The following is a 23,856-nucleotide window of genomic DNA, read 5'->3' on the forward strand; positions in this document are numbered from 1 at the left end:
TTTGAGACAAGAGTCTCACTCTGTTGCCCAGGCTAGAGTGCGGTGGTGCGATGTCTACTCACTGCAAGCTCTGCCTCCCGGGTTCACATCATTCTCCTGCCTCAGCCTCCCGAGTAGCTGGGACTACAGGCACCCGCCACCACGCCCAGCTAATTTTTTGTATTTTTAGTAGAGTCGGGGTTTCACCATGTTAGCCAGGATGGTCTCGATCTCCTGACCTCGTGATCCGCCCACCTCGGCCTCCCAAAGTGCTGGGATTACAGGCGTGAGCCACCCTGCCCGGCCAAGTTCCTGTTATTTTAAGCCACCAAGTTTGTAGTAACTTGCTACAGCAACCCTAAGAAACTAACATAAATAGTTAAACAATAAAACAAACATTAGTTGCCAAGAATCTAAAATCTAGTAATTCATATATACAGTGTGTCAGGTGCCTCAGTCTCCAGTTTCCACCAGCAGTTTTACTTAACAAATTTACTTTTCGATACTATTTAGTTTTCAAGCTGGATGGCTAATGTAATCCTTCTAATTTTAGAGGCTATTTGGAAAATCTTCTCTTATTATCTATAACATGCCTTATCTGTCAGATTGTTTCATTTTGCTTTGTCTGCAAAGAAAAGCTAGACTCAGTTGCCAAGGGCAAATTTGGAAAAAGATATGTCACCTTGGTCTTTGATGAGTATCATTGGCAATACAAAGAAAAGCAAGTTTCTTACATTGCCTGGTGGGAAAGGAAAAGACGCTCAGACAATTACTCTGTTCTCCCAATTTCTGAAACACTGAAAAAAGACCTTGGTCCATAGAAGAACAATATTCCTCAAGAACAAACCTGAACACTTTGGTTGAATTCTTTGGTAGTCTATATTTTTAGTCACAGATAGTTACTCTCCTGAAGTACAATATATTGCTGAGCCCCAAGAAAAAAAAAATAGCATAAATCACAGAATGTTCCCAATGCCTGCATCTTAGAATTGCTTCATTTATTTGTTCAACAAATGCTTATTGAGCCTCTTTTTTTTTTTTTTTTTTTGACTCAGTCACTGAGTTAGGTACAGTGAACACATAATCATTTAAGTCCTTTCCTGCTAGTGGATAGAGAAGCCAGAGAAAAATAAATTACAGTGTGGTATTAAAAAGACCCATTACAGAGATATGGACAAAATGTTAAGAAAACAAAAAGAATGGACCTAACTCTGCCTGAAAGGACTTAGAAAGACATCACCATATCGGGCTTCCAGGAGGGGACCACTGAGAGGCTCTTGCAGTGTGAAAGGTGAAGGCTGTAGAGGGGAAATAAGAAAAAGGGGGAAGGGGGTGAGGTTTTGCAGTATGCTCTCACCTGCCACATCTTGCAAACTAGAAATACATGTTCTCTGCCATAAAAGGGAGAATTCGCCTCATTCAGATTAATTCCAACATTCATACCTCTAATAGGGAGGATTAAGATATTGAGATCTGAATTAACAATGCCATGAGAGAGTAGGACCAGCCAGGAATCACTAAGTCAGAAGCCACCGGTCTCTCTCCTGCTCTGGGTGTCCTAGAGCTATTAGCCGTACTCATAAGGAAAGCCAGGGCTGTGTAATCAGAATATGACATGTAGCTTTATATTGTTAAGAAGAAAATGTTCTGGAAGAGAAGAGGAGGCAAAGCTCTGGTCCAATAAAAAAAATTCAAGCTTACCACTGAAGAGAGATATATTCTAAGTCAAACACATATACGTTTCTTAATTCTGAACATGCTGCATTCTTTACTTTATCACCTTAATTGTTGGTTGCCCAGCTCTGCACTTGTATATGCCTGTGTGGAAAAGTAGAGGCATTTCTATAAGGCAGTGAAACTAGTTTCTAAACAAACCTGTCTGAACCTGCAGCTTTAAATGAGGAGTTCCCTTTTAATGGTCACCCAGGAAAGTCATATGCCATTGTGGTGAGAGGCCTAGCTATAAAAGATACTTGTGGGCCGGGCACGGTGGCTCACACCTGTAATCTCAGAACTTTGGGAAGCCAAGGAGAGTGGATCACAAGGTCAAGAGATCGAGACTAGCCTGCCCAACATGGTGAAACCCCGTTTCTACTAAAAATACAAAAATTAGCTGGGTGTGGTGGCGCACCTGTAGTCCCGGCTACTCTGGAGGCTGAGGCAGGAGAATCGCTTGAACCCAGGAGGCGGAGGTTGCAGTGAGCCGAGATCGCACCACTGCACTGCAGCCTGGCAACAGAGCGAGATTCCATCTCAAAAAAAAAAGACATTTGTGAACTTTTGTGTTTTGATTTTTGTTGTTTCTTCTCTAGCCACCAGTGTGCCAGATCTTCTCCTGGGAATCACTGGAAGTGACCCCAACCCAAAGGGTAATGATCATTGCAGAATAATTGGAGGCTGATACCAAGAAAAGTAAACACTTTTGGGTCAGGAAATGTAGTTCCCTTCAGAATGGTTGTGTGCATCCAAAAATAAAAGCTTAAAGAAAGTATCTTTTTAAAAGGTATTTAATAGTTCCATTGTGCAGTAAAGGAAGGTGTATTCAAACTTTTTGACATCAAATGTTTGAAAGAAAGCTGTTTGTCGCCTAATGATCACTGTAGGGATGAAAAAGAAGGCTTGTTACTAGATTCCTGAGAGTCAGATGCTTAAATCAACCCTGACTAGTGTCCCTGAGCAGTCGGAACTCTGAGGGTTCTGTAGTTAAAGAACTAAGCACCAAGGTCTAGAACCAAAGACACGATGATATGACTACCTTGGGGGAAAAAGCGAGGAGCACTCACAGCTGAATCCTCATCTACCGTAAGAGGAAGTCAAAGACGAGGTCCTAAATGGAGCAATAAAAATAATTGTAGGCAGTATCATTGAAATTTTAAAGTAAACACCAGAAGAAACAGCCAAAGGATCTGAAAATGATTGTCTTTGAATGCCTGAACTGAAGGCTAGGGAAGATAGGCCAACAGCCATCCATTTTTTAAAGATAAACCCTTATTGTAAAAATGAACATGCATTCCTTTGAAAAAATGTTCAAAGAACTATAATAAAAGGAAAAACATCTTTAAAAGTCCAGAACTGATGTTTTATTTTAAATAATGTGCTTTTATTCCTTTTGTAAAAATCTAGTAATTTTAAAAATATAGCTTCTTGTTAACTGGCAAGAAATCCACAGACCTTCATTACTCAAATTCACAACCAATCATAGGGGGCTAGGCGTAAGAAAAGGTGGTACAATACTTTTTGTTATTTGGAGGCTGTAGGTAATATGGCAAAAAGAAAAAAGCCAGGGGACTCTTTCCCTCAAAGCACATGAAGATTAGAGAAAGCCCTAGATTTCACATTTTAAAGTGGAAAACAAATAGCATAGATATAGAGATTGAATTATTTGTGTTAAGAAGACTTACAAATATGGTTGCAACCATTGTTCCAGTCTCTATTTCTGTGTGTCTGTGCATGCTGGGGATGAGGAAGAGAAAACTGAGAGAAAAGGCACTCCATGAGGATGGCAGAGTGGGAATAGGAGAGAGTATGAAAAAAGGAATGAAGCCAGAAATGGTAACTTCCAGGGAGGTAGAGCTGTGAAAGGGGAATCTTTATAGAAAATCCAAAATTTATGCAAAAACAAAAATTGGACAGAGGATCCTTCCTTAAGTATTTGTCCTAGGATATATGCCAGGAAAAAAGCACATTAACTCCAAGGAAATCTCATAAAAAAAATTCTAGGTCAAATAAGTTTCAGCTGACTCTTCAGAGACCTTAAGAAGGGACTAAGGCTTAGAATAACCTTTCCTAAACATCCAGAGGCCCCAGTTTGAACGAGAAGTAAAAATCTAAAGTCACATTAGAATTTTAATTGGAATAACAACACGTGAAATGATTATGAAATGAAATGAAAGTGGTATAACTTGCAATCCCTCTAGTTGGGTGTTGTCTTAGTGTATTTTGTAATGCTATAACAATACCACAGACTGGGTAATTTATAAACAATAGAAGTGAATTTGGCTCACAGTTCTGGAGGTTGGGAAGTCTAAGACCAAGGAGCCGCATCTGGTGAGGGCCTTCTTGCTGCATCATCACATGGAGGAAGGCATCGCATGGTGGGAAAGCATGCATGGTAGGGAGGGGGCCAAACTAATCCTTTTTATTTGGAACCCATTCCTTAGATAACCACCTCATGATAACAGGCAAAGCCCTCATGACCTAATTACCTCTTAACTTCCCATCTCTCAACATTGTTGCATTGGGGATTAACTTTTCAACACATGAAATTTGGGGGACATGTTCAAACCATAGCAGGTATATTTAAGCTTTTTGCCTCTATGCATAAATTATGGCTGTTGCTCTTGGCATCTATGCTTAGAATTGGCTAAATGATTGCCTGGTTTGGAAGAGTCTTTTCTATTTAGAGTCCTATTGACAATGACAGCATCTCTGCAGAACCCCCTAATGACCAAGGCAAGTGTTTACACAGTTGCCATTTTGTGAATAATTCCAAAGTTTTGTTGTTTTATTTCTTGTTCTTTATTGCTTTATTAATATCTGCCTGTTTTTTTTTAATCCCTGTTTTCTCTCATTGTCTGGGCCTATGCAATTGTCATTCCTTACTTGAACTCCATCTCATTCTCTCTACTAGCTATAGACCAACGGGTCTCTACTGAACTATGACTGAATATTAGATCACTCAGGAGGCTTTAAAAAAATGCTGATGCCCAAACCTCACCCCAGATAAATTGAGCTCATCTAACTGGGCCTAGCGCCTAGGAATTGGCACTTTTTAAAGCTTCCCTGATTATTCTAGTTGCTAATCACTGTTGTAGATATTTGTTTCTGCTGTGACTCTGTTGCCTGGCGTGGAGTTGGGTGATTATGTCATGACACAAAGGCAGAGAACCGTGAAGAATATTTTCATCCCTGTCTGATCCTTCCACATAACAGGATAATAGAATTTATCTTTATGTCTCTTTTATTACAAAGTCTTTTGTTTCTTTTTTGTGTGTGTGTGCTTTTGTTTTGTTTCATTATATTCAATGTTTGGCTGAGCCCAGTGAAACAATTAGAATGTAATGAAGCATCTAGATAACCGAGAATGATAATAATGTACACCTGATACATCCAGATAATAGAAACATCTATGCCTTCATTGAAACTTGTGGGAAGTGTCTCAGTTCTTTAATGTACATTGATAGCAGAGGAAGCGACCTGACCTTTATGCCATGAGCTATGGTTTCATTTAGCTGGTGTCCAAGAAGCTATGTGACTTTTTAATAAGTTCCCTTGACTTTTGTCTTCTTAGAAGCAAGAATTCTTGTTGTGACAAAAGAAAAATGATTTTGGTTTATTTAGGAATTTTTGCACTTACAGTAAAATTTTATTGTATTTTAAGAAAAACCACAATTCATAACACTTGGTTTCCTAAAAACCAAATTGTGTGTCTATGTATGTATGTATATGTGTGTGTATATATGTGTATATGTATATGTGTGTATATACATATAACGTGCCTCCCAACTGTTTAAGAGCTACTTTTAAAGATACTTTTTTTTTTTTTTTGAGACAGAGTTTTGCTCTTTTTGCCCAGGCTGGAGTACTATGGTGCAACCTCGGCTCACTGCAATCTCCACCTCCCAGGTTCAAGCAATTCTCCTGTCTCAGCCTTCCAAGTAGCTGGATTACAGGTGCCCACCACCATGCCTGGCTAAGTTTTTTAAAACTCTGTCTCTTCTAAAAATACCTCAAGTAATCCGCCGCCTCAGCCTCCCAAAGTGCTGGGTTTATAGGTGTGAGCCACCACGCCCGGCCAAGATCCTCTTTTTTCTGAAATGACTTGACTACTTTCACAAAAACAAAATTTAAGGGAGATGTTTACATTTTACCTTTCTTATAAATTTTTCAGATAATTTTAGTGATCATAACCATAGATGTACAGTTATTTAATTATGGAAGTTCAATGTCTAATTTTCAAATTCAAAAACTCATATTTTGTTGCAATGAAAAAATAAGACCTAATGTAAAATAAATTCCAAAACTTTTTTCACAAATAATTTATCTTCAGAAAAAATATGATTTGACAGAGCTGCAAGGAAGAGACAAAATGGATTCATTTTAATTTCACCCATTGACTTTCTTATGCCCATTTTCTGATATAAGTAACAATAAGTAGTATAATTATAAAATAAAGAAAAGTGATCCAAGAAAAAGTGAGACATTTTCTGTTCCTTTTTTGCGTTGTGAGTGGGTTTCTAGATCGTGGATATATAAAAAAAATCAATATCTGAAAAACATTAAGGTTATGTTTAACATAATAACAAATAAGAATATTCTCATTTTGAGAACTGGCCCTTCTTGGAGTGAGATATATTCATTATCTATACTCAGGAACTTAACCGTGTTCTGTTTATTCCAAAGAAATTTATAAAATGAAGGATTTTACCTGTAGATATGGTTTTTCTATCACCTTTTGAAATTTCAAAGTAGATTGTAACAACCTATCAACATAAATCATAATGCTTAAAGATGTATTACATTTATTCTTTTAAGAGTTTAATTTAGTCCCTAGAAGGAAAAGTCAAGGGGAAATAAACTTATTTATATTAGTAAAATTAAACATCCAGCAACTGAAGGAAAGATTGCTTTGTTTTAATGTTGCTTTTCTTTTTACTTTCTATATACATAGTCAAGCCTCCACTCTTACCTAAAAGTACAAGTTCTCTTCAAGAAGACAGGCTCCACAGAGATCATATTTGGGCCATGTAACACATTGTAATTACGGGACACTGCTATCATTTGGATATAGTTAGTTTGTTCCTGTCAAAACTCATGTTGAAATTTGCTCCCTAGTGTGATGGTATTTGAAGTGGATCCTAGTGGCAGGTGCTTGGGCTATGGAGGCAGATCTCTCACAAGTAGCTTGGTGCCACTGGTAATGAACGCGTTAGACTGAGTTAGTTCTCCAAAGAGTGGGTTGTTATAAAGCAAGAACACTCGTTGGGTTTTGCTTCTCTTCACATGTGTCTACTTCCCCTTTGAGCTACTCAACCATAGTATGATGCAGCAGAAAAACCCTCACCAGAAGCCGAGGCTATGCCCTTGAACTTCCCAGCCTGCAGAACTGTGAGCTAAATTAACCTCTTTTCTTTATAAATTTTACCCAGTCTCAGGTATTCTGTTACAGCAACACAAAACGGACAAAAATATATTACTACAAAATGTGCTTCATAAAATTGACTGAATTTGATACAGCCTTTTAAACTATTAAGTCATTTCTATAATAAATCTATTGCCCAGTTTTATAAGGAAAAATAGAAATATTTTCTTTCCTCTTAAAGCGTTTTATGTACTATGCCAGGATTCTTAGAAATCTCAGTTCTCTTTATAATCATTTTATGTTTTGAAATCTATTGCATTGGAAACAAAAGTTGCCCATCTAAATTTCTGACACATTTCAAGTCCCAGCTCAATTCTCAAATCCTCCGAGAGTTTTATTATTTCATCCCCAGCAATTTCTTCTGGGTTTGTTGGAAAATGAGATGATATTGTCAGGTTGTGATTCCAGGAGCCAGGAGTGGAAACAGTGAGGGAGGGATGGGACTGGCCCATTAACAGCAGAGAATGGAACAAAAAAACAATCTTCAAGACAGTAGCTGGGGTATGGTAGATTCAGTTTGTGTCCTATCCAACATTCATTTTCCCCTTTTGCTTTTCTAACCCTCATTTTAATCACCCACACTATTCTGAACTCTATTGGTAGGTCCTGAAGAGTAAGCCAATCTGCATATGGCATTCCACTCCAACTATGATTGATCTAAGTTTGGATATGCACTAGGCCCAATCAGAATGAAGAAGGGGGCATATACCATGGTTTGGGAAAAGGGGGAGAATTTTATCTTTTTCTGCTACTGTATATAAACAATGATAGTGGTTCCCCCATTTGCTGCTGGTTGTATCTTGCAGTCATGAAGGAAACCAACCTAGGGACCAATCTGACAATGGAGAAGGGCAAAGAAAAATTAATTACAAAGAAAAATAAATCTTATTTATTGTCATATATTCCCAGGAGCCTATAGGTAGGGTAGGAATGGAGAGGAATATGATCAGGGGTTATGGGGAAGGGGGATAGGAGCTCAGTCTTATCTTCTCCTGTATGGCTCACTCTTTCAGATCTGTTGTATTCCTCTTCACCTTGCTAAGTATAATGCATATTTATTTGTTCAGTTAATTCAGTAAATAAACATTGAAAGTCTAGGATGTACCAGGCATGTTCTAGGTATCAGGATACAGCAGGAGCAAAAGTTCCTTCAGTATGATCACAGGTCATAGTCCTCTCCATTCCTACCCTACCTATAGGCTCCTGGGAATGATAATAAGTTTTCTTATTAAGCTCATTTGAACTGCCATTTTTGTTACCTGCTGCCAAAAGCATTCAAACCTTTACAAAGACATAATAAATCCAGTCAATAGTCCAACTAAAACAGCAATCTGAAGGCTGTGCACAGAGAAAGCAAGAAAAGGGACAGAATCTAGAGATGCTAAAGCAGATAATGTAGATTCCTAATGAAGAACAAGAGAGTCTAGAGCAGGATTTCTCAGCCTCAGCACTACTGATGTTATGGGCCAGATGTTTCTTTGTCTTGGGCTGCTGTCCTATGCACTATAAAAGGTTTAGCAGCATCCCTGGCCTCTACCCACTAGACATCAGTAGCACCACCACCCCAACAAGTATGATGATCAAAATGTCCCTTGGGAGGCAAAACAGCCCCTGCGAGAGCCATTGTTTTAAAGGGATTCTCTGAGGCTCTGGATCATAGCTGCATGGCTTTACTATAGGAATCAGCAAGTTCACCTGGGACAGCGACAGAGAAATTAATGATATTATTGTTCAGATACTTTCCTCTGTGTTCAGTGGCATTAAATTCTTGTGCCACTCATTTTGGACCTTAACTTTTATGGTCTGGTACCAATTAAATAACTACTCTTTGCTTCAATTTCTTTATACAGAAAACAGGCCTGGTACAGTGGCTTATGTCTATACTCCCAGCAATTTGGGAGGCCAAGGTGGGAAGATCACTTGAGGCCAATAGTTGAGACCACCTGGTCAACATGAAGAGACCCTATGTTTATGAAAAAAAAAAAAAAAGTAAAAATTAGCCGTGCATGGTGGCACATGCCTGTAGTCCCAGCTACTCAGGAGGCTGAGGTGGGAGGATCGCCTCAGCCCAGGAGTTTGAGGCTGCAGTGAGCTATGATCACACTACTGCACTTCAGCCTGGGCAACAAAGAAGACCCTGTCTAAAAAACAAAAAAAAATAAAAACAGGCAAGATAATAGCAATTAAATCATTGCACTGTTAGAAGGGTTAAATAAGATAATGCATGAAAAAAGCTGAGAGTGACTGGCAGATAGTAAGTTCAAACAAATTTTAGCTACTAATATTATTAATTGCCTTGTTAATAATTAACAATTAATTATTAACAGTATTATTACTATTATTACCAAAACTTTCTTCTCAGGAACCATGGCCTCTCTGGAACCTTCAGATAATTAGGCAGAGGCTACTACGGATTGCAGAATATTGGGAGTATTTATTGACTTCGCAGCATGTGACAGTAGGCAATGAGGGTGTCTCAAGTTCAAGGTAAAGGAGTAAGAATTTCCTAAGGTTTATGTATGCAAGACAACTTTCCTCATGATACAATCTTTCACTATCTTCTGCAAGTTCACTTCTCTCTCTTCCCATTACCATGACAATCCACATCCATAATGGATGTTGAGTGACAGGGGACAAATCCTATAAATATGACCAGTACTCCCAACATAAACATGTTTACCTGAGGAGAGCTTGTGGGGAAGGAAGATAGGGGCTCAGTATTATCTTTTCCTGTATGGCTCACTCTTAACAATTTTGTTGTATTTCTGTTTGCCTTGGTGAAAACAATGCATATTAATTCCTTCAATTAATTCAATAAATATATATTGAAAATCTAGGACATACCAGGCATGTTCTAGGTATCAGGATACAGCAGGAGCAAAAATTTCCCTCAAGAAACTGCATTAAAGTGGGGGAGACAATCCAAGAATACATATTCTGCAGATGTAACAGGTGCTATGGAGAAACAAGGTAAGGCAGGCCAGGAAGGGGGTCATTGATCTTTTATGTAATGTAGTCAGGGAAAGAGTCACTGCTGAGAAGATAGAGGGTGAGCCATGTAGGGAAGAAAGTTCCAGGCAGAAGGAGCAATGAGTGAAAAGATTCTGAGGGGAGTTGTGAGCCCTGAATTTAGAGAAATAGCAAAAAGATCAGTAAGGCTGGAGCAGGAGTAATGGCCCTAGAATAGGAAAGATGGTCAGAGAGCAGCGGAGTAGGGGGGTGGCGCGGGTCAGGTGGGCCTGGTAGACGGCTGAAAGGACAGAGCATTTTGCTCAGATTAGGTTCTAAAAGGTTTTGCCAGAGAAGTGACATAATTTCATTTTATATGCTTAATAGAAACTTTATTAATACTCGAATGAAATTATTAACCAATGTTTACTGAGAATTAATGAAATGTTAATAGCTGTTTCAATGAAAAACATAACATCCTTGGAAGGACCTCTGATTTAGGGGGCATGAAGAGGTCAGTGACTTCCCTCCCCCAAAGAATAATATAAAACAGGAAAAAATGTCAAAACAATTAATTTAAGGTATTGAAAATTGCCAAAGGCAGACAATAAATTTAAAAGTATTTATACTTGACCAACTGCTAGAGCAGAGGAGTAAGTCAGCAGCAGGTGGTGGCAGGAGACTCACCCAGGGCAGCTCAGGCTGAAAAACAGCAGCTTCATTGTCAGAGGTATGGACTCAATTTGGGGCAGAGGTGGAAAACTGTCTTTGCCATCTAAAAGTTGTGAAATTAGTTGAGGCTGAACAGGAAAAACTCATAGCTTTGCAAGCTCAAGGTTTCACTTTTTGATAGCAATTTAATGGAGAGGTCCTGGAAATGAGTGATCTTTGAAACATGGCTAATAGAACTAAGAAACAGAATTGTTCATTTCATTTTAACTCAATTGAATTTTAAAAGCCGTATGTGGCTACCACATTGGATAACACGGATTTATACTATTACAATCAAGGATGGACAATCGGGAAGCTTCGGGAAGCTTTCCCAATTAAAAGTCATAATTCATTGCCCAATTTTAGAACCTGAGCCAATTTTCATATCCAGAACTCGCTGCCTGGAAAAGAGACTAAATCCCCATAAGAAAAGATTCTGCAGCAGCACAGCAAAGATACATGGTCATAATTCCTCTAGTCCTTTCCCAAAGGAACCTATAACCATGAACAGCCAGACACTGAGGACTGTAAGATACAGGATTAATATTTAGGTCAATAAACAATTTTTTGAGACCATATCATGAACTGAACATAAGAAATATAACCATAAATAAGCCTTGGCCTCTGCCTTGAAGGAGCTTATTGACTTTATCATAAACAATGAACTCAGGAATGTTATATACACAAAAACACAAAACATTCCAAGCCTACTGGAGATATATAGGTTGAGGTGATGAGGGGAAAGCACAGATAATATATTACATACTTTTAAATGGGGAGAAGTATTTCTCAAGCTTTTTTTAATTATCACTCCTCCAAGAAGCACTTTTAGAAATTTTATTCCTAACAGCCTTCTACCCCATGAAATGATATACTTAGTAATAAGATTCAGTATTGGAGGGTCACAAACCATTGTAATATCTAAGATTTTTCACCCTCCGTGAGACAAGAATCAATTTTCACCCCTGTAGGGGCAGTATCATTGAGAATGCAGATATAGCTTCTCTGCATTGTAGAGAAAGGTTACTTTTGCTGGAAGGGAATTAAGAAAGTCTATGAGGAAGTAACATTAGAACTGATTTAGAAACATGAGTATGATTTATTTATATAGAGAAAGAGATAAAGGAAGTGCAGTTAAGAGAATTTCTGGTATCACCTTGCTGAGAGAGAAAACCCTTGCGTAAGTCAAAGCTTTTGCCAACACCTTTGAAATCACTGTTGCTATGTAGTGGTTGGCTTGCAAAATCTGCAAAGGAAAAGATCAGAGAATACTCTGGGGACACCTGGAATAGACAGTTACAAACAAAAAATGTAAAATGCATGAGATTTATATTGTTTTTTTTTAATTTTGTATTTGATGTATTTCTTATCATCACTAATTTAGAATACAGTCAGCCCTACATATCCATGGGTTCCACATCCATGGATTCAACCAATTGTTGAAATACATGGGAAAAAAAATTATACAAAGTTCCAAAAGAGCAAAACTTAAATTTGCCACATGCCAAGTACTATGTTGAATCCACATGAATAAAATGATATGTAGGTAATTGTTAGGTATAATAAGTAATCTAGAGGTGATTTAAAGTATACGGAAGAATATTTACAAATATTACACCATTTTATATCAGGGACTTGAACATCCTCAGATTTGGTATCCAAGGCTACTGAGGAACAACTGTATTTCTAAATTGCTGTGGAAGTTGAAATTCTATTATTAACATACACGTTAAGTCAGAAGTTCGTAAGAATGAGCTGGGTAAAAATAAATGTAACCTTAAATACCACTTCTGTAGAAAAGCTACTGAGTCAAATATTATTTTAAGTTTTATTAACAACAGCAGCAACATAACTCTAATACAACCTTCCAGTACTTGCACATTTTAAAACCTATCATTACTTTGTCTTTCTAGCTGAGACCTCAAACACACCCTCATGCATACACTTTGCATTGCTACAACATATTTGAAGTTTTTTTGTAATAATCTACATAAGAGATGTGGAGCTGTATAATCAATACATGTACTAGGGCTGGGCATGGTTGCGGACGCCTGTAATCCCAGCTACTTGGGAGGCTGAGGCAGGAGAATCGCTTGAACCTAAGAGGCAGAGGTTGCAGTAAGCCAAGAGATCACGCCACTGCCTGGGCAACAGAGGGAGACTCTGTCTCGTGTGTATATATATATATATATATACACATGTATATGTATGTATACATATATATATGTGTATATATATATATATACATGTATATGTATGTATACATATATATATGTATATACACACACACACACACACACACACAGACACACACACACACACACACACACACACACACACACACACACACACACACTAGACAATAAGTCCTGGGGTCAGAATTAGTCCTGACTTATATTTTGTATCCTTATACCAGTTAGCAGTCCCTTGACCAGTTGCATCAAGGTTTCTTTGTTAAACTAAACATGTTTGGGACATTGAGATCAGTTTGAGTGCCTTGGGAACAAGGGTAAAAAAATGGAAAGATATGAATATACGTTTCCCATATCAGACATATAAAATCTAACCAATTGAGGATTTTTATTTTTGGCCTGAGGCACTGAAGACTCCATTACATTAAAAATTAAGACCCCTAGACAAAGAGGATATGAGAAATTTCCTTTTGGAATTAGAGGAGGAACCAAGGTAAGTTTGGATTAGAATATCTTTTTGAAAAGTTATTTTTTAGAATCACAATTGTGTTGCACAAAGAAAATTTTCTAATAGTTTGCTGACCACTGGTCTCTGATTTAACCACTGAAGGTAGTCCTAACTACTTATGATGACAGAATGCATCCTATAAGCTCTAATAGTAAATAAGCATAAATATTTGTTACATAAATTAATACAAATAAATATTATAGCCATAGTATTTTTGAACTTATATTTCAAGACTCCAGAATCCTCCATCCTGACCATAATTTGCTCTGCTTCCATCAATTCCACTCCTTTTTACCATGATTGCTACTCATCATCATCATAATCATCCATCCAAATCCCCGAAGGCTTAGCCATTGCCAGTTCTTCAGCCCATCTGGCCTCCTCTGGATTCACTTTCTTTCCCAGCATGGGCATCTACCGCTACCATTTTTTCACCTGTATGGTCAGTTTCTTGGTCCACCTTCTTTTCCATTTAACTTGCCTCACCAGTCCCTCCCTCCAGATTTAGCCGAAAGTCCTTTCTTTCTATACTCCAGCATCCAGGGTGAAGAAACTGACAGAAGCATCTGGGTTGAAATAACAAATGGATCGTTTCCAGCCACACCTGGGCCTTTTCAATAAACTGCCACATTTCTTTTAAAGGGACATTATTTTTTCACCTACAGGCTCTCAAAGGTAAAGCCTTTTGATATTTGTCCCTTTATATATCTAGAACACAGAGGAGAACATATATTTTCTCCTAATTATTTGAGATGACAGTGGAGGTTGTTTCAGTGAAATGCATTTTAACTGCAGATAACCAAAAATGTCTACAAATCAGCTTAAACGATAGGAAATATCTGATGTCACATAAGAAATCTGAGGAAGCACAGCCCACAGGGATGTTTGATGTAGTGACTCAATAAAGTCAACAGGCTGGGTACAGTGCCCCATGCCTGTAATCCCAGCACTTTGGGAGACCAAGGCAGGAAGATCACTGGAGGCCAAGAGTTTGAGACCAGCCTGGGGGCAACATAGCGAGTCCCCGTCTCTACAAAAAATTAAAAAATTAGCTGGGTATGGTGGTGCTTGCCTGTAGTTCCACCTACTCAGGCTAAAGCAGGAGTATCCCTTGAGCCCAGGAGTTACAGGTTGCAGTGAGCCATGATCACAGCACTGCACTCCACCCTGGGTGACAGGGCGAGATCTTTTCTCCAAAAAATAATAATAAAGTTATCAAAGACCTACATTATTTTCACCTCTCTGCTATCTTCATTGTGTTGTCTTTGCCCTCAGGCTGGTTCCTCACGGCCCCAAATACTGCAGGAGTTCCAAGTATCACGTCTAGATGTTATAATGTCCAGAGAATAAAGTGAAACATCTCAGTATACTTCCTTCATAAGAACATGAAATACTCTCCCTCCCTGAAAACCACTGACTGACTTTTCTTATGTCTCATTGAGTAGTTTTGGATCATATCCCTTTTCCTAAACCAATCACTAACAAGGGATTTCCATAATTAATTTCAACATTTATCTGAGGGTATCAACCACAGAGATTACAACCTAGACTATCAGGATCTGTCTCAAGAAAGTGTCATTCTATCAAGTTTATATATACTTTCTTTAAGATTTTGAACCAATAATTTTTTCAGTCAGCAGGCTTATTAGCATAAAGAAAAATATTAATAGAGTCAATTCAGTAAACATTCATTATATATGAACAACGTGGAAAATGCTGTGCTAGGTACTATAAGAAATAAAAATCAAAATAGGACAGTCTTTCTTCAGGATTTGTTTCCCTAGTAGAGGATCAGGCACATTGATACTGTCATAGAAGGTAGACTTTAATCGTCATATTGAAAACAGTGAGCGATTCATTCTGGCTGAGGTTTTTGTTATACTTAATTCTCTGATTTATGACTCCATAAGCCCACAGACATGCGGTACCCCCACAGGTTTGAAGGTGAACATTTCCCTCAGTGTTCACATGCGTAGAGCAGTTCTCCAAATGGCTGCCCTAATTTTCACACCACACACATCGGTCTAACATCATCCGCAGGCCCAATAATGTTTTATTTTCCAACAGACTGTGGGGTAAATGGCACCTTTTAAATGTTCCAGGCCAGGCGCAGTGGCTCATGCCTGTAATCCCAGTACTTTGGGAGGCCAAGGTGGGAGGATCAGTTGAGCCCAGGAGTTCAAGACCAGCAGGGTCAACATGGTGAGACCCCTGTCTCTACAAAAAAATAAAAAATTAGCCTGATGCGGTGGCACATGCCTGCAGTCCCAGCTACTTAGTAGGCTGAGGTAGGAGGATCCCTTGAGCTCAGGAGGTGGAGGCTGCAGTGAATTGTGACTCCAGCCTGGGCCATGGAGCAAGAACCTGTCTCAAAAAACACCCAAATGTTCCAGAGCATCGAATCAGGATTAGCTGCCATTTCTAGAAAATGACAAGAGGCCTGTTTTTTAAAAGTGACTCTACTCTGGAAATTGTCACATGGAGAACTGGAAGCAGAGATTTTATGAAATTCCCATGCTTTAAAAGAATCAAGAGGAGGTTAAAAAAAAATTAAAAGATTTTACCAAATCACATTGGAGGACAAACCTTTACAGGGAAACTTTGGTTGCTCCTCCTTTGTGTTGGGTACCAAGTTTTTTTGTAAGATATTAATAAATTTTCTTGTTCTAAATCCATAAATGCTCATATTTTAAAAGAGATGGCTCTTACGGGTATTATTTTATATTATATCCCCTCTCTGAAAATCTCTCAACATTGAGAATAAAATTTAATGGATGAAATTTATTTACTTATTTATTTATTTTATTTCATTTTATTTTTTTTGAGACAGAGTTTCACTCTGTTGCCCAGGCTGGAGTGTAATGGTATGATCTCAGTTCACTGCAACCTCCGACTCCGGGTTGAAGCAATTCTCCTGCCTCAGCCTCCCTAGAAGCTGGGATTACAGGAATGCACCACCACACCTGGTTAATTTTTGTATTTTTAGTAGAGATGGGATTTCACCATGTTGGCCAGGCTGGTCTCAAACCCCTGACCTCAAGTGATCTGCCCACCTCGGCCTCCCAAACTGCTGGGATTACAGGTGTGAGCCACCGCATCTAGCCAAGAATAAAACTTAATAGATCAAATTTATTTTTAAAAATCCGTTTATTTCCACCTCTGCTAAATCAAAGCTACTTTACTGAGCAGGTGGCTATCTGATTCTGTCATCTTATTAGCAGACACCAACCAAGAGGAGTTATGTGATACCCAGAGGAATATTAAACTGAAGAAATAAGGGCCACCGAGGGCTCATCTGTAGGCAGCTCTTTGAAGTTCCTCTCTGGGCCCAACTTTCCTCTGGCAGATTGGTAGGAGATAGCTGTCTTCACAGTGCACGTTCCCCTACCATTTCAAACACTCTTGACTAAATCTTAAACTACTCACTAGTTGTTGATTGTAAATCCATTTGCTTTTATTGTAGCACAATGCATGTTTATTGTAGAAAAAGCAAAAAAAAATACAAGTAAGGAAAAATAAAGTATGTAATTCCAATTATCCAAAGGCAATTACCGTTAATGCCTTCGTATATATGGTTCCAGGTTTATCTGTGCGTCAAAAGATTTAACACTATAGTTGAAATAGCTGAATAGTATTCCATTACATAGATATACATCAATTTAACAAATTGTTATGGTTTTCACAGCTATAAATGTCCATCTTCTCTTATTACAAATAGCCATTTCAAAGAATATGTCCGGTACTCAGGATCTGTGCATCTCCTAATTATTTCCTTTAAAAAGTCTATATTTTATGCTCAATACCACTAATCATTAGGGAAATGCAAATGAAAACCATAATGAGATACCATCTCACACTAGTCAGAAGGGCTTTTATTAAAAGGTCTGAAGATAACAGATGCTGGTGAGGTTGTGGAGAAAAGGGAGTGCTTATACACTGCTGGTGGGAATGTAAATTAGTTCAGTCACTGGACATTTCTCAAAGAACTTAAAATAGAACTACCATTCAACCCAGCAATCTCACTACTGAGTATATACCCAAAGGAATATAAATCATTCTACCATAAAGACACATGCACACCTATGTTCATCACAGCACCATTCACAATAGCAATTGCATGGAATCAACCTAAATGCCCATCAGGTGGACTGGATAAAGAAAATGTTGGGCCAGGCAGAGTAGCTCACGCCTATAAACCAAGCATTTTGGGAGGCTAAGGTGGGCGGACCACTTCAAGTCAGGAGCTCATGACCAGCCTGGCTAATATGACAAAACCCCATCTCTACTAAGAATAGAAAAATCAGCCAGGCATGGCGGTACGTGCCTACATTCCCAGCTACTGGGGAAGCTGAGGCACGAGAAACATTTGAAGCCTGGGAGGTGGAGGTTGCAGTGAGCTGAGATGGTACTACTGCACTCTAGCCTGGGTGACAGAGCAAGACTCTATCTCAGAAAAAGAAAAAGAAAGAAAATGTGACACTGATAACACCATGGAATACTACACAGTCACAGAAAAGAACAAAATTACATTCTTTGCAGCAACATGGGTGAAACTGGAGGCCATCATCCTAAGTGAATTAACACAGGAACAGAAAATCAAATACTGCATGTTCTTCCTAATAAGTGGGAGCTAAACATTGAGTACACCCAGGCTAGAGTGCAAAGGCACCACCTCAGCTCAAACATGGACACAATGAAGGGAATAATAGATATGGAAGCCTAACTGAGGGTGGAGGGTGAGAGGAGGATGGTGATTGAAAAACTACCTATCAGGCATTATGCTGATTACTTGGGTGACAAAATTACCTGTATACCAAACCCCCAAACACGTAATTTACCCACGTAACAAATGTGCACATATACCCCTTGAATCTAAAATGAAAGTTGGAAAGAACAAAAAGTCTGCATTTTAAAACATTAGATTTTTCCACACTTTTTTTCTATTTGTTTAAAAAGGAGAGAAAGGATATAAAAAGAGCTGGAGAATCTTTAAAATTCACATTTGGCAAATGTGAATATGGCTATGTTTTATGATCATTTATTTGCAGTTTTTAAGCTGTATACTTCCAAAAGGTTATTGATATTGGTTACAAGCAAATTTATGTACATGCATGCAGCAAAACACTAAAGGTAAAGAGATGAGAACGCACATAAAGAGGAGAGTAATGGTGTAAGGAAGGAGTAATGAGTTAATTTTAATATCAGGACAGCCAAGGAAAAAAAGGAAGCATTACAGGTGAGGTGATTCTCATTGTCTGATAAAAGGAAGCACACTATTTCAAAGGAGTCTTTTTTTCTAGCACTACACTAGTGATACAGTAATATATCCCATGTGTCTTTACATAAAGGCATTGATCAACGAATTTTTTTCATCCAACATTTCTTTATAAAGCCAAGGACACAATATTAAATTTCATTTCAGGAAAAACATTTTTATAGGAAAAGCTAACATAGTTCAAGTAGATATCTTGTGATCTAACTTGTTACAAAGAAAGAACTTAGACTAACATATAATAACGTTCCCATATGTGGTTTTCCTCCAACAGCTCTCATTTCAACCATACATTTGGCAGAAGCTAATTAACTGGGGACTCCAAAACTGCCTGATGGAGAGTCAATATTGACCTCAAATCTTTGAATTTGTTTGAAAGCCTACATAACTACTAAGGTGAGCCCCATAGAGCAAAATGTAGATGACTGGGATTAGAAATTCTTTTCAATGAGCTTCCTTGACCATAAAAGAATCTGAGGGTGGTTTGGGTAGAAAGAAGGTTGCCAGCTCAAAAGCCCTCAGGTGTCACTAAATGCATAATGGAGCCAGGTGTGAACAATGGCAAATTGAAGCTGCTTAGCCAAAGGGACTGAAAACATACAAACATTCAAAAGTATAAAAACACTGTTGGGCCAGGCACAGTGGCTTACACCTATAATTCCATCACCAGGGTCCGAGGCTGGTGGATCACCTGAGGTCAGGAGTTCAAGGCCAGCCTGGTCAACATGGTGACACTCCCATCTCTACTAAAAATACAAAATTAGCTAAGCATGGTGGCAGGCACCTGTAATCCCAGCTACTCAGGAGACTGAGGCAGGAGAATCAGGAATATAAATCATTCTACCATATATTTTATATATATATATATATATATACACACACACACACATATATATACATATATATGTGTATATGTATATATGTGTATATGTGTATATATGTGTGTGTGTATATATGTGTGTGTGTGTGTGTGTGTGTATGTATGTATGTATATATATAGAGAGAGAGACAGAGAGAGGAGGCGGAGGTTGCAATGAGCTGAGATTGCGCCATTGCACTCCAGCCTGGATGACAAGAGTGAAATTTCAACTCCGGGAAAAAAAAAAAACACTGTTGCAACCAGTCTCCTGGTAGAACTTGGTCTGCAAGCAGCCAGTTGGTATACCTGCTGACAATAACTGACTTGGAGCATTAGCGCTTCCTGTTGAGCCAACCAGAATGAGTTCTCTACAAAATGTACAGCCAAGTTCCTGAATAAATATACTCACTATTTGAATATTGGAATCCATCAGCCAAGAACACCTGTTTTAGTTTTTTAACAGTAGTAGGCAATCAGGGTGAAAGGCTCCTCCTAATCCATGATAGCGCCCCACGTCATCAGTTTAGAGAAGTTTGTTTTTCTATTTGCTGTAACAAAAGGACATGGATTACCTTAATATAAATAATAAGAATCAGACTATTGGTTTATGTTGATAAGAGGAGTGAGTAGAACATAGCTCTCTTTTATCTGCAATGGATCAGAGCACCCCATCATATCCATCTTGATTCTGGTAGGGGTATTATGAAGAATTCACACGCACTAGAAAGGCTCAGCCATCTTGGCTTTCTTGACTTCATAATTTAGCCATGCTTTGGCCAAATTGCTGAAAGACAGTAATATTTAGGTACATAATAAATTTAAGGGAGACGCATTCACTCTTAACCTTACTTGAGGGTCAAGGCAAATATTTCCAGAAAAATGACCCATGGGAAAATGATCTTTGAGTAAAGATTTTCTATGCCTCAGTGTTTTGCAGAGTCAATTCTAGGCATTCCATCCTTTCAACACTATCAACAAATGGGTTTTTGAACATGTGACTTATTTTTAAAACTGTAAAGATTTTCCTCAAATTGTATTCAAATAAGTCCTAGCCAAGTTAATATACATTAATACTTCTGTACTGCCCTTAAGAATAAATTCATACAAAAACACCTATTAACATAGAACTTTCCGTCATCTTCACCTTTGCTTTTTCTCAATTTTTTTCAAGAGTGTTGACCAGCACTGTTGCTACTAGCCACATATTATTGAAATTTAAATCAACATTAAAATTAAATTAAAAGCTCAGTTTCTTTCCACATTTTCAAGTGTTCAATGACCACATGGGTATAGTGGATACTATATTGGTCTGCACATATATAGAATATTTTCATCATCACTGAAAATTGTACTGGAGAGCCATGATTGAGATAAGAGAAAAAGCAACTGAATATTTGCCCATAAAGAAAATGACATGGAAATTTGCTGGGAGAAAACAATTTGCTTATAAATATACCTGCCAATTGAGAAGTCACAATTTGTTGGAGTTCAATTACAAAATTATTTTTGTCTTTCAACTATGTCCACCAGCAACACTGGATCAAATTTGCTTTTCCAGCTGGGTGACTGCTGCCTTAACAATGTCTTAGGATGATTCTGTAGTCATTTTTAGTTACTAAAACAATGTCAACAATCTTTTTTGTTCCAATAATTAAGACTCAATGTGGCTAGGCACATTGGCTCACACCTGTAAATACCAGCACTTCGTGAGGCCAAGATGAGAGGATCAGTTGAGCTCAGGAGTTCAAGATCAGCCTGGGCAACATGGCAAGATCCTGTCTCTACAAAAAAATTAAAAATTAGCCCAGTGTACCTGTAGCCCCAGAGGCTGAGGTAGGAAGACTGCTTGGGCCCAGGAGGTTGAGGCTGCAGTGGGTCATGATCTGATCCAGCCACTGCACTCCAACCTGGGTGACAGAGAACCTGTCTCAAAAAAAAGACCCAATGCCATTAAATTTTTAATATCTGAATGTCACACTCGACCCAGAACTCTTGTCCTCTCTTACCACTTCCCCTACCTCACGCAAGCTTTAGTGTTTGAAGTGAAGGAGGAAGGTGTGGTTTGTCTCTGAGACACTTTTTATTCCTTCTTTTTTAAAAAACTTCATTGTTTGAATTGACACATAATTGAAATAATATTCACAGAGTATATAGTGACCTTTTGATACTATATCATGATCAGGGTAATTAGCATATTCATCATCTCAAACATTTATCATCTCTGGGAACATTCAATATCCTCCTTCTGGCTGTCTAAAACTATATTATTGTTAACTATAGTCATCCTATAGTGCTTTATATAGAACACTAGAACTTATTCCCCATCTACCTTTAATTTTGTATTCTTTAACAAATCTTTCCATTGCCCATGTCCCTCTGCCATTCCCAGCCTCTAGTATCCTCTGCTATAGTTTTTACCTCTAAGAGTTCAACTAATTTTTAGCTTCCCCATGTAAGTGAGAACATACTGGGGTTTAACTTTCTATTCCTGGCTTATTTCACTTAGCATAATATTCCCCAGTTCTACACATGTTGCTGTGAATGACAGGATTTCTTTCTTTTTGTGGCTGAATAACATACCATGGTGCACCATGTGGTTCTTCTTCTATTGATGGACACTTAGGTTGATTCCTATCTTGGCTATTGTGAGTGGTGCTGCAATAAACACGGAGGTGCAGATGTCTCTTTTATATACAAATTTCCTCTCCTCTGGATAAATGCCCAGGGACATTTGCTACCATGGATTCGGGGACAAGATGATGATGGAGCTGAGGCAACAAAACTCTCCTCATGTGATTGTCTCCATGGGAAGACATAGAGTTGGGAAAGGCCTCTACTCTTCTTGTAGTTTAAGCTGCCTCCATCTGGTTGTGATGGCCTCCCCTGATGTGTCAGCCTCTACATAAGGGGTGTACTTGTGAAGTTTCACACTAGACCTATGTGTCCAATATCCTCTCAGTCTCCAAGGGCTCTTCCATTTAACACCTTTTCTCCTTCAACCTTGCCATGAACACATCTTCAAAATCAGGAGACACGGGCCAGCATTTCCCTCTTCTTTTCTATTATGAGGGAAGAGAGCTGAAAAGAAAAGCATGTCATACATATAGCAACAGAAGTCTCCAGATTCTAGCTTTGTACCGTGGCAGTCTCATAACCAATGAGGTTTATTCGAGGCGTGATTACTGCTAATTAAAAACTTTTTCCAATACCCCATCATCATGACTTGAAATATAGCTGGCATAGGCAATTTTTGACAGTCTCTATGGAGACTTAACTATCTCAGGTTTAAAAAAAGCTGACAATTTTTTTTTAAGTCTCCAGATTCTGCAGCTAAGTAAGTACTTGAAGGGAAAGGGTGTCAGTCTCCTCTTTTTCAAGACACCCCCAACCTTCATGAGCATTTTATCAAAGCTGACTCACTTGGCTCCATTAATGGAAAAGCACCACTGCCACCTTCTCAAGGACAGACATAGGAGAGAGGACCTCCAACCACAAATTGTGAAAGTTGTTCCTCCAAGTTCCTGGGATGCAGGAGGAAATCAGGGGACAGGGGGAGATGGTAACTAGTGGTAGTAGTAGGGATAAATGCCACTCAGCATGCACTGGCAACTATTAGTGGCTTAGGAATACTTAGTGCCTTGTGTCCTCAGCTTTGGGTTTTAGCCACAATTCTGAGACAACAGGAAAAATCAAACTCCACTTTCTCTTACATATGCAATAGATATTAGAAGCAGCCTTAAATTTATGCCTTAAAATTTCCATCCAAACATAGTAAAGATTTTTAGTCATTTAGAGCTATGTTCCAGAGCAGTTTCCAAGTCAGAATAAGTTAAACCGTTTGCCTTTTGATACTTGATATTTTATGGTTTCCAATTTGCTATTTTCAGCTAACCTTAGGGGTGAACAGCTCTAATTCATCTGAACGGAGAAACAGTGTAACCAACCAGTTTCTCACAGTGACAGAATACTTTGGCTGCTTTGTCCAGGCTGTTGGGATGGAGTCAGCCAATAGCTAAGAATGAGGGTCATTGATTCACATGACAGGGGGTCCAATGTAGGTCAAGTTCTACCTGCGTATCTGAGAATTGCCCCTGAATAATATTTATATCTGAATGAATCGATTCTAATATAGTAGTAAAAAGTGTGAGCTTCAGAGTCAAACACCTGAGCTGACAGTCCATCCCAACTGCGTATTAACTCTGTGAAGTTGAGCACATTGCAGAATTCCTGTGCCCCTGTGTAATC

General features: G+C 38.5%; 1 long non-coding RNA gene and 1 pseudogene across 1 annotated transcript in view; one reads left to right on the forward strand and one right to left on the reverse strand.

Moving 5' to 3' along the window:
• LOC105377510 (uncharacterized) overlaps window positions 1-22,249 on the reverse strand; it is a 38,425-nt gene extending 16,176 nt beyond the window's left edge. Inside the window, exons 1-2 of the long non-coding RNA XR_939403.2 lie at window positions 22,192-22,249; window positions 20,021-20,159 (exon numbers count right to left, since the gene is read on the reverse strand). This is a non-coding gene — a long non-coding RNA (uncharacterized LOC105377510). The remainder of the gene's footprint in view (window positions 1-20,020; window positions 20,160-22,191) is intronic.
• RNU4-79P (RNA, U4 small nuclear 79, pseudogene) lies at window positions 22,740-22,880 on the forward strand (annotated as a pseudogene).

The sequence above is a fragment of the Homo sapiens genome, chromosome 4, assembly GCF_000001405.40.
Source record: "Homo sapiens chromosome 4, GRCh38.p14 Primary Assembly".
Lineage (NCBI taxonomy): Eukaryota > Metazoa > Chordata > Mammalia > Primates > Hominidae > Homo > Homo sapiens.